The sequence below is a fragment of the Homo sapiens genome, chromosome 15 (assembly GCF_000001405.40).
Source record: "Homo sapiens chromosome 15, GRCh38.p14 Primary Assembly".
NCBI lineage: Eukaryota > Metazoa > Chordata > Mammalia > Primates > Hominidae > Homo > Homo sapiens.
Window position 1 is genome coordinate 30058723 of NC_000015.10, and position 13079 is coordinate 30071801.

Here is a 13079-nt window from a genome sequence, read left to right on the forward strand (position 1 = left end):
CAGGGAGGGGTCAGGCTGGAGAGGCAAATATGGTACTTATAGGGTAGAGGCCCATGAGATCATCAGGAAAACACTCGGAGAGTGTGCAATGAAGAAGACCTGGGGCCCCGGAGCAATATAAGGATACAGGATCCAGGATTCAGAAAAAGAGAGGAAAAGCTGGGCAAGAGAGCAAGGAGGAACAGGGGGAAGTGTGAGCCTCAGAACCCAAGAGAAATGTTAATGAAAGGCCAAAAGATGAGAACCAAGAAGGTTCTCACTGGCAACCTTAACGGAAGAGTGGGGTACAGAATAGGTTCAAGAAGGAATGTGATGTGAGGAAGTCAAATCCAGCGCTTGGAGGCCCCGGCTTTGGGACAGAGAATTGGTCCCTGCAGAGCACGGTCTGAGGCCAGTGTGACTTTCACCTCTGCTCACTGCAGGACAACCAGAGAGCTCCATCCCAGGCTGAGCTGGGCTCTGAAATTAAAAGGTGGATTGAAAAGGTTCCTTCCCCTTTTGTGTGTATGTCGGGGTAGGAGGGGGTGGAGGGTGAGGGCTGCTGGAAGAAGGTGAGGAATGAAACAAAAATGGGCAATACATTCTGATAAGCATGTAAACAGGGGCCAATGCAAGGGTGTATGGAAACAGAGGAGGCTCCCATCCCATTTGTCCAGGTCTGTTCAGTGGAGGACAAGGGGAGTTTGAAAATAAAATGCCCAAGGATTTAATCAACCAAAGAGCCAGGACCCTCCATACGTACGATGTTGCCATGATGACCATGCCCGTGTGGGTGGTAGTTTGGCCGTTTCCTATCCAAGGCGGACGCCCCGGTGGGCAGGGGTAGGTGGGAGGCCTGTGTTTCCATCCTGAAGCTTAAGAACCAGGCCGGCCCATCTCGGGTTTGTGTCTGGGCACATGCACCCTGTGGGTGAGATGCACCAGGTCATTGTAGGCCACAGGCTCTGGAAAGGGCACAGAACACGGGGCCTGAAGCAAGTCACTTCAGCTCAGAACCTCAGTTTCCAAGCCTGCCATTTTGGGGAACTGGGGTTCATGATACCAGGGAGTGAAAAATTCTAGGTATAATACATGACCAGCATTTCTTTCTACTTCTCCCACACGATTCCCTTTTCAGCAGATTAAATGTTTGTGAGCCAAAGCACAACGTGGGCTTCGCTTCTCTCTGCATGCTTCAGCCTTGTCCAGACATGGCGTGTCACCTGTGTCTCCGGCAGTCACCAGCTGTCCTCCAGGCTGCTGCTGTGGGCTTCTCATTGGTGGATCCGAGGTCCTGGATACTGTCGCCTTGGTGAATGCACAGTGATGCGTGTGGGGAGGTGCAGAAGCTCTTCCGAGTTATTCTCTGCACTTACAGATTGAGTTTATCCCGTGATGAAGCTCAAAATCAGTTATGCTTTTCTATCTCCTCTGTTGTATTTCTCCTCAACGTCCACTTCTGTGAGTGAGTAAGGTTGTCTGTTTTGACAGCTGAATGAACAGAAAAAGGAGGTTTTAAAAGCAAAAGTCTGCTGTGTCCCAGTTTCCCAGTTAACTCCATTCTCTCTAGCCATTCATGGCATGGAGACAGAAAAATCACAGAGCAATCAGAGTGCATTTTCTGAAATCAGTCTCAACTGCGGAGTGGGAACGTGCCACTCTGAGGAACTTCCTTCCGGCCCGGCTTTTGTGACATGTCGTGTGGTAGCGGTCGTATTCCATCCCACCTTGTCCTCCAATGCTGAGCTCAAGGATTTGGGAAAGCACATGGTCCCACCCCGAGGTCACAGGGAGGGCTTTCGCCACAGCAGATGTGTGTGCCGTTCACATGTCCTCGACAGCCAGCGGAGTCACAATTGATTTTGATGTTAATATGGCAAAATCCATTAGGGAGAAAAACTTTCCCCCATTCATTGACTCACAACCCAAGTAGAAATTGTTTTTTGACATTATCCACATTCCTGTTCTTCCCATGAGGCATATTTGAGGCGGGCAGATCACCTGAGGTCAGGAGTTCGAGACCAGCCTGGCCAAAATGCTGAAACACCGTCTCTATTACAAATACAAAAATTGGCTGGGTGTGGTGGTGCGTGCCTGTAATCCCAGCTACTTGGAGAAGCTGAGGCTGGAGAATTGCTTGAACCCAGGAGGCGGAGGTTGCAGTGAGCCGAGATCTCACCACTGCACTCCAGCCTGGGTGACAGAAAAAGACTGTCTCAAAAAAAAAAAAAAAAAAGAGCTGACATTCTAGGTGTTTAATAATACCATACTATCATATCTAGTGTGATAAAATAACAACATGCATTTTCCACAGGACTATATTTCAAAAGAGTATGAGATGATTATATTATATTTTTAGACCAAAGTTTCACTGATGCAGAAAAATCTGTAAGTTGCAGGTTTATTTTTAATAAACAAAATCGACTTTATGCACCTTGTAGGTTAACCTAACCGACATTATTGTAATTTATTCAGTAGGTAGGGAAGTTTGAACTCTACTCTTGAATTCATGGCGGGATATATTAATAGTAGGGAGCATGCGGGGAAGTACGCAGACATTGTTAGCAATAAGCAGTGAACACACAGGGAGTGGTGATATAAAGATAAACCAATACAGACAGAATGTCCAAATAAGGCCCCAGTAGGGCATGTTTTCCACGTTTCCTAGCAGGGTTGGGAATACCCTATTTAGATTTTCAGACCAGAAAAGGGTAATGAAGTCAGAGAGATTAGCCTGGGCAGAAAGGGAAGAATGGACCAGGGGCCATCCATTCTTCCCTGTGCTGGTGAGAGCACAGGTCACGGCTACAGAGAGGGGGGTCAACCTAAGGATGCAGGCAGGGTTGGCTATAACAGTTCCTTGGGAAATGGAAGTGTAGGAATATTGTTGGCTTAGTTTTAAACCCAGAAGAGGAAATAGCTCTGGAACTTAGGCTGGGGGATGGGGGCAGAAAGGACTCAGGTCTTTATTCCTAGACTACTCCAGTACATATCTTACCCCATGGGCACCTGTATCAACAGACTCTGAGGGAAAGGTTTGCAGCAGACATGGACCTTGAAAATGCTGGAAAAAGAGAAGGTGCTGATCCTCCCCAGGAATCAGAAGACCAAAAGCCTTAGAAACTCAAAGAAAGAAAGCTATAGCAGGGGGGCTACTTTGGCTCCCAGACTTCAGCTCTCAGGGCCAACATAGAGCTATGATTTGAGGACTGTTCTTTCCATCTGTATTAGTTAGAATTCCTCCAGAGAAAGAGAACCAACAGAATACAAACACACACACACACACACACACACACAAAGATATTGAGATAAACATCTCAGTATATATGTGTGTATATTTATATACACATATAAAATTTGATGAAATGTATTTTAATGAATTGGCTTAAGAGACTGTGAAGCAGTAGTAGATCCAAACTATGCAGGGTTGACCAGCAGACTGGAGACCCAAGGAAGAGTTACAGTTAGATTCCAAATGCAGTCTGTTGGCAGAATTCCTTCTTTCTCAGGAAGGGTTAGTCTCTGTTCTATTGTCTTTAACTGATTGAATGAGATCCCCCACATTTTGAATAGTAATCTGCTTTTACTCAAAGTTCACCAATTAATTTATTAAATTATTTATTTGAGATGGAGTTTTGCCCTGTCGCCCAGACTGGATTGCAGTGGCGTGATCTCAGCTCACTGCAACCTCCACCTCCCAGGTTCAAGAGATTCCCCTGCCTCAGCCTCCTGAGTAGCTGGGATTGCAGGCGTGCGCCACCACACCTGGATAATTTTTTTTTTGTATTTTTAGTAGAGACGGGATTTCACCATGTTGGCCAGGCTGGCCTTGAACTCCTGACCTCAGGCGATCCACCTGCCTCGGTCTCCCAAAGTGCTGGGATTACAGGCGTGAGCCACCGTGCCCAGCCCAAAGTTCACCAATTTAAATGTTAATTTCATCCAAAAAAAAAAAAAGAAACATCCAGAATAATGTTTGACCAAAGATCTGGGCACTGACCTGGCCAAACTGACACATAAAATTAATTATCACACCATCTTAACACTGTCCCTGGGTAAAGGACTAAAAAAGAAAAGACAGAAGGAAGAAGGAGCTAGGACCCAGGGATAGGTAGGATGTATCAAGGAATAAGAATCAGCATACTGTGTTTCCACAAAACACAAGAAAGAAAGTAAAAATCTAGAAAGATCTGCAGCACTGTTTAATTCAGTACATGTGCCTCAGGTATTTCTGGGGGCTGGTTGGGGGGCCAGTCCCAGGCAAACTGAAGGTGCGGAAGCGGTGGTGGGATTAGCTTAGTCAGCAGGCCTGGTACGCATGGACTAGTTGCATAAAGTACTGGAAGCCTTGGACCTGATGGTTGTCTTCAGAGTAAAAAAGGAGGTAAGCAGAAAAATGCAGTCTACAAGCTGCTGAGTCAGTTACCACTTAGCATGACTTGAGTGCCAAAGATATGACAGGCATAGAGTAGTTTGGGGCACAGAAGAACAGATCAGAGGAGGTTACAGGTTTTTGTGCATTTAATCCTTACGACAAATTTATGAGACAGGTGCTGTTCTTTATCCTCATTTTCCAGATGAGAATCTAAGGCATAGAAAGGTTTAGCAGTTTGCCCAAGGCTGCACAATACTTGTGATGCTTAATTTTGTCTTAACTTAGCCAAGCCGTGGTGCCCAGTTGTTTGGTCAAACATCAGCCTACATGTTGCTATGAAAGTATTTTTTTAGATGTGATGAACTTTTTTTTTTTTTTTATTGAGACAGAGTTTCACTCTTGTGACCCACACTGGACTGTAATGGCATGATCTTGGCTCACTGCAACCTCTGCCTCCTGAGTTCAAGCGATTCTCCTGCCTTAGCCTTCCGAGTAGCTAGGATCATAGGTGCCCACCACCACACCCAGCTAATTTTTTTGTATTTTTAGTAGGAACAGGGTTTCACCATGTTGGTCAGGCTGCTCTCAAACTCCTGACCTCAGGCGATCCACCCGCCTCGGCCTCCCAAAGTGCTGGGATTACAGGTGTGAGGAGTCATGCCTGGCCAGATGTGATGAACATTTATATCAGTAGACTTCGAGTAATACATATTTCCCTTCATAATGTGCATGGGCCTCATCCAATCAGTAGAAGGCCTTAAGAGCAAAGACTGAGGTTTCCTGAGGAAGAAGGAATTCTCTTTAAAACTGTCACATGGAAACTCTGCCTGAGTTTCTAGTCTCCTGCCCCATGGAATTCAGATTCAAGACTGACTGCAACATTGACTCTTACCTGAATTTCCAGCCTGTCAGTTTTCCCTACAGATTCTGGACTTGCCAGTCCCCATAGTTGTGTGAGCCAATTCCTTAAAATAGATCTCTTTCTCTCAGCATGTGTGCATATTACAGTTACATATAAATGAGGCTCTGTCTCTCTCTCCATACTGAAAGCAGGAAGTAGAAGAGGAAAAGAAACAGAAATCACATTTTTGTCAAATCCCAGAGGCACTTGCAGTCCAGAATCTTGTATTAGGAAGGGCAGTGGGTGATGGGGCAAACCTTACCTCCTGGATGGGGCTGTCAGGACTTCATGTCTCCATGGAGGGGGCCCACCCCAGAACCACCAGCTCAGCCCCAGCCAGCAAAAGCCTCCTGGCTCTTCAGGAGCCTGCTATCACAGGGAACCCAAGTCCACCCACGTCAGGCTCAGGGACCTTGGAGGGCTTTGTCCTGCGATTACATTGGTCTCTATCCAGCAAAAGAAAAGTTGGAAAGCAGTCTGTGTGCTTTCTAAATGAACACACTGTGATAATGGGGGCCCAAAGTACATATTTCTAATAACAAACCTGATTAGAGGTAAAATTAATTGTATATGCTATTTAAACATAGTATATGTTGAGTTGTATATTATATTTTTTTACAATACTTACTCATGGTTGTGCCTTGGATGCTTATATGCCATAAGCAAGTTAAAGAAAACATATGGCTTACATACCAACTATTGACATTCCATTCATGCCTTTATTTTTTATTGTTTATTTTTATTTTTTTTGAGACAGAGTCTTGCTGTGTTGCCCAGGCTGGAGTGCAGTGGTGCAATCTCAGCTCATTGCAACCTCTGCCTCTCAGGTTCAAGCAATTCTCCTGCCTCCACCTCCTAAGTAGCTGGGATTACAGACTCCCACCACCACACCCACCTAATTTTTGTATTTTTAGTAGAGATAGGGTTTCACCATGTTGGCCAGGCTGATCTCGAACTCCTGACCTCAACCGATCTGCCTGCCTTGGCCTCCCAAAGTGTTGGGATTACAGCATGAGCCACCATGCCCAGCCTCCATTCATGCCTCCAGAGGTGGGAAGGACACTGCATGGAGTAGGGACCATTTGGATCGTTGCTTTGTGTTCTCATTTTATGCAAATTCTTCCTATCAGACAGTCTGTACCTGCAAGGAATAGCCATGAAGGCTTACCGCAGTTCAAGTGTTACTCTAGCCCACAAAACACATAATTTATGAGCCAAAAGAGAAGCTGGAGGCCATTTATGTTGGAGCAACTTCAAAATGTCTCACCAGCAATTAAGACTATTTTTGTTTTCCTTTCGGAGAAGCATTAGCACACATTTTAGAGAATGACCGCTTAATTTATAACCTCTTACTCATATTTTAGAGGTTTACTACTGAAGGGCAGAGTTATTTGGAATGTTCGGAATGAGTTGCATCATCTTGTTTTAGGCTCCAGCAAAGAACAAAAACTAAGAACAGACACCAGGCACACACTTCAACGGCATCAAGTGCCCACAGTCAAATGGAGTCAAGTGCCCACAGTCAAATACCATTCTTCTCATACTGCGGAACAACCAAAAAAATCACACAGTGGCCTAAGTATGTCCTAGAAAATATTAGCATCAGCAAAACAACGTGTAAGTAGCCAAAGGACGCAGTGGAACAAGAACTATGAGGAGAGGAAGAAAATGAAAAGTAAAAAGACAGGCCTTTTTAAAGATTACAAACACACCGAGAATGTTAACATACTTGTTACATAATTGGAGACTTTGTTCTTGATCTTCAGTGTCAAAAGCACTGCTACGATCGGGTTGAGTTCCAACCCTTGCTTTTTCTTCTGCAGCAGATGCATTTTGTAAGGTCCTATGGGTTTATTCTGCATTATAACACAAATGGGTATCACATTTCTGGCAAGCTCACCCACTGGTTGCTTTTCTTTTTTAAAATTATAACAATATGTTGCTGGAGATTTAGCTATCCCAAATTGTATACAAAAGAACAAACATTATTCAGTTTACATTTCTCTAAACAAACATCCATTCATTCATTGAAAAATAAGTCATTACCAGTTGTTCAAAATAAATAAGTGCTTGTCTCGGCTAGGAATAGAGTGGCCCTTTTTCAAAAGTGCATGCTGCTATTTTTCTGAACATGCGGCTTTGAGAGGAAATACCCACATTCTTTTTTAATTTAATTTAATTTTATTTTATTATTATTATACTTTAAGTTTTAGGGTACATGTGCACAATGTGCAGGTTAGTTACATATGTAAACGTGCCATACTGCTGTACTGCACCCATTAACTCGTCATTTAGCATTAAGTATATCTCCTAATGCTATCCCTCCCCCCTCCCCCCACCCCACAACAGTCCCCAGAGTGTGATGTTCCCCTTCCTGTGTCCATGTGTTCTCATTGTTCAATTCCCACCTGTGAGTAAGAACATGCGGTGTTTGGTTTTTTGTCCTTGTGATAGTTTACTGAGAATGACGATTTCCAATTTCATCCATGTCCCTACAAAGGACATGAACTCATCATTTTTTATGGCTGCATAGTATTCCATGGTGTATATGTGCCACATTTTCTTAATCTAGTCTATCATTGTTGGACATTTGGGTTGGTTCCAAGACTTTGCTATTGTGAATAGTGCCGCAATGAACATACGTGTGCATGTGTCTTTATAGCAGCATGATTTATAGTCCTTTGGGTATATACCCAGTAATGGGATGGCTGGGTCAAATGGTATTTCTAGTTCTAGATCCCTGAGGAATTGCCACACTGTCTTCCACAAAATACCTAGGAATCCAACTTACAAGGGACGTGAAAGACCTCTTCAAGGAGAACTACAAACCACTGCTCAATGAAATAAAAGAGGATACAAACAAATGGAAGAACATTCCATGCTCATGGGTAGGAAGAATCAATATCGTGAAAATGGCCATACTGCCCAAGGTAATTTATAGATTCAATGCCATCCCCATCAAGCTACCAGTGACTTTCTTCACAGAATTGGAAAAAACTACTTTAAAGTTCATATGGAACCAAAAAAGAGCCCGCATCGCCAAATCAATCCTAAGCCAAAAGAACAAAGCTGGAGGCATCACACTACCTGACTTCAAACTATACTACAAGGCTACAGTAACCAAAACAGCATGGTACTGGTACCAAAATAGAGATATAGATCAATGGAACAGAACAGAGCCCTCAGAAATAATGCCGCATATCTACAACTATCTGATCTTTGACAAACCTGAGAAAAACAAGCAATAGGGAAAGGATTCCCTATTTAATAAATGGTGCTGGGAAAACTGGCTAGCCATATGTAGAAAGCTGAAGCTGGATCCCTTCCTTACACCTTATACAAAAATTAATTCAAGATGGATTAAAGACTTAAATGTTAGACCTAAAACCATAAAAACCCTAGAAGAAAACCTAGGCATTACCATTCAGGACATAGGCATGGGCAAGGACTTCATGTCTAAAACACCAAAAGCAATGGCAACAAAAGCCAAAATTGACAAATGGGATCTAATCAAACTAAAGAGCTTCTGCACAGCAAAAGAAACTACCATCAGAGTGACCAGGCAACCTACAAAATGGGAGAAAATTTTCACAACCTACTCATGTGACAAAGGGCTAATATCCAGAATCTACAATGAACTCAAACAAATTTACAAGAAAAAACCAAACAACCCCATCAAAAAGTGGACAAAGGACATGAACAGACACTTCTCAAAAGAAGACATTTATGCAGCCAAAAAACACATGAAAAAATGCTCACCATCACTGGCCATCAGAGAAATGCAAATCAAAACCACAATCAGATACCATCTCATACCAGTTAGAATGGCAATCATTAAAAAGTCAGAAAACAACAGGTGCTGGAGAGGATGTGGAGAAATAGGAACACTTTTACACTGCTGGTGGAAATACCCACATTCTTTGCAATATTTAAAAAAGGGCTTCATGGAATCAGGGGAGGAAGGAAAAGGAGGCACCAGAATCACTTTCAAATATGGCTTCTTCCTGAGCCTCTGACCGATGATGCGCACGACTTCCCCATCTTGGGCTTGGGTTTGGGCTTGGTCCCTCTTGAGCTTGGGAACCAGAATCAGAGGGGGTTCTGGCTGACTTCTAAGACTCACCAGTTGAACTCGTCTTGCTCTTCCTCGGGATCTGACCATGATTTCTGCCTCTGCCTGGACAGCACCTTCACAGCACACCTGGTTGAACGCTTCTGCCACTTGGTTCCCTCATAGGCCTTTCCACCCTGCTTCCCATCAGGCCCAAGAGGCAATGGTCCCCAGCAAAGAGCTGATAGCACATGGATTGAAACCTTCTGTGGGTCCCCTTTAACTCTCAAAGCCCGCCCCACGCACCTCTTCACCCACCCCTGCCCAAACCACCCTCCACCTTTGTTCACGTCTTCTGCTCCTCCAGCTCCTGAAGGCGGCGTCCATCCTCCCATCATCGTGTAGTCAGTGGCAGCCCTGTGCCTGCTGGTTGTAAACACATAAGCATGCAATCACACTGAATCACGTCACTGTGGAAAAGCCCATCCCAAGAGACAAGCTATGGGAAAGATGGTTTCGGGAACCACTTTCCCTGAGCTTTCCTGGTATGTTCACACTTCAATTGCCCTTCTAGCTCTAGCTCTTGCTCATCTTCCCAATGGGAGAAGGTCAGGAACAAAAGAAATGTGGTGGCCACTTTAAGAGGTGGGAAATGCTGTAGGGATGAGCCTCTTGCCCCTACTCCCCAGTCCCTGGGAGGTGGCTCTTCCCCTGTAATTAGAGGTGCCAGTCATTCTTTTTATGGTACAAGTGACCTGTTGCAACAACCAGTATTGTCCACAAACAACATTAAAATGTGGATATAAAACATGAAGAGACAGTATAGGACTTCCAGGCCCCATGAATATCACTAGCCATGATAGCGAAATACCGCAGGTTCTTGCCTTCAGCTTTGTGCTGAATTGATAATCCTGCCTTCTACGGAGCACTCTGCAGCCACACTGCTCACTTGGAGCTTTCTTGCTGTGCTACCCTAGGATGCAGTTATTTAATAGTCTGTGTTTCTAATCACGGCAGCTGATTGTTTTTGTATCACAAGAACTATAAGGCTTCCTCAGAATTTATATGAGCTGAGTCTACCCCATACAGTGAGAGGAAATGGATTTCCTTCTGAAGTTGGATGTCGTTATAACCGATCATAAATCACCCTCTTTGGGGGCACCCACAAAGGGTGAGCCCCATTGAACACAGATGGATCACCCAGTGCTGAGAGGGACTTGAGACTTTGCAAAGTACTTGCTTTATAGCCTGGGATTGATTATTACCCAGGGCATCACTTACAAACATTAGTCTGAAAGTCTACATTCTGACCACTGGTATGACATTCAGGTAGCAAAAGAACTTGAACATTTTCAGATTTTCTTTTTTCTCTCTTTCTTTTCTTCCTTCCTTCCTTTCTTTCTTTTCTTTTCTTTTTTTTTGAGACACAGGTATTATAAGGTATTATAATAATAATACATTATTATTATTATTTTTGAGACACAGCTTCGCTCTTATCACTCAGGCTGGAGTGCAATGGCATGATCTCGGCTCACTGCAACCTCCACCTCCTGGGTTCAAGTGATTCTCCTGCCTCAGCCTCTCGACTAGCTGGGATTACAGGCACCTGCCACCATGCCTGGCTAATTTTTGTATTTTTAGTAGAGATGGGGTTTCACCATGTTGGCCAGGCTGGTCTCGAACTCCTGACCTCAGGTGATCTGCCCGCCTCAGCCTCCCAGAGTGTTGGGATTACAGGCGTGAGCCACCACGCCCAGCTGAGAATTTTATTTTTCAAAAAAAAAAAAAAAAATCTCAAAAACAATCTCTCCAGTTAAACTCTGGTAATATAATTGCTATATCTTTTTTTAAAATACAACTTTTAAGTAGTTTTAGATTCTCATGGAAGTTGCAAAAACATGTAGCTTTCATTCAGCTACATAGATGAATAAATACTTCTCAGAAAAAAATTGTATTACATGACAGCCTAAAGTAACATAAGAAGCCATTCATAAGTATTCATTTTCACCAACTTGACTTTTTCAGGGGATTGATTATTTTATTCAATGTTATGGGGGCTGTGGAATGGAAGGGCTTGTAATTAACCCACAATTTGCCACAACTATCCTAAAAGCCAAGGGCAATTTTTCCAGAGACAAATCTTAAAATATATGATGTCAATATATTGTAAAATATAAAAGCTTAACTTTATTACAAAAGCTTAAAATATAAGCCTGGGCCCTTATGGTTCTGTCTTGGAGAAATGTAGGCAAATGAAGACCAGCAACCAAATGCTGCTTCAAAATAGTTCAAATCCTTTTCTTGCAATTCTCTAAAACCTGAATAGGTCCACATGCACACAGGCCATCGTATCACAAAATAGGAATTCCCTGTTCTTGCATCTGTCCCCGTTACTCCTGCAACTTTCCCAGAACATCCGCTGCAGTTACCTTCCCCAAACCCTTCTCTTCTGACCAGCCCTGTTCACCTTTTCTTTCTCACACTCTTCTTTCCCTCCCCCACTCTTCATTTCTTTATGACATTGGTCAACCCAAACCCTCTCCTAGCAAGAAAGAATCTTTTCTCTTGAGAAGGAAGGAGGTTGGGAAATTAGAATAGGCAATTATAGGTCTCTCTTTGGAAGGCTGGGAGAAGAGAAACAGTTGGGAAGACTTCCATGCCAGTTTTTTTTTTTTTTTGAGATGGAGTCTCACTCTGTTGCCCAGGCTGGAGTGCAGTGGCACCATCTTGGCTCACTGCAACCTCCGCCTCCCAGGCTCAAGCCATTCTACTGCCTCAGCCTCCCAGGTAGCTGGGGCTATAGGCATGTGCCACTACACCCAGATAATTTTTTTGTATTTTTAGCAGTGACAGGGTTTCACCTCAAATGATCCACCCGCCTCGGCCTCCCAAAGTGCTGGGATTACAGGCGTCAGCCACCTCACCCTGCCCCATGCCAATTTTTTTAAATGACAACTTTATTGAGATGTAATGTGCATACCACAGAAATCACCCTTTTAAATATATGTAACATATTTAATATATTTTAAAATATTTACTATATTAAATATTAACATATTTATATTTATATAGCATATTATATAACATATTTATTATATATTATATATTTATTATAATATATATAATATATAATATATTAATATAAAATATATACTATATATTATATTAATATATCATTATATATGATTACATATTATAATATATTAATACAATATATTATATTAATATATGATATTATATTATCATATATTATATAATATATGATATATCATATATTATATAATATATGATATATCATATATTAATATAATACTAATTATTATAATAATATATTATATAATGATATATAATAATAATATAATAATTATATTATATATTTATATATAATATTATATTATATTATTTTTATTATTTATTTTTTATTTTTTATTTTTTTATTTTTATTTTTTATTTTTATTTTATTTTATTTTATTTTTTAAATTTATTTTTATATTTTTATTTTATTTTATTTTATTTTTTTATTTTTTATTTTTATTATATATTATATTATATTATATTATAATATTATTATATAATAATAATGTAATATATTATATTATATATATTTATATCATATTATATAACATATTTATATTTATATAACATTATATAACATTTATATTTAATATTAACATATATTTAATATATTAAATATATATAACTATATATAAATATTTATATTAGTTCAGTAGTTTTTGGCATATTCACAGTTGTGTGCAAACATCATAATCTAA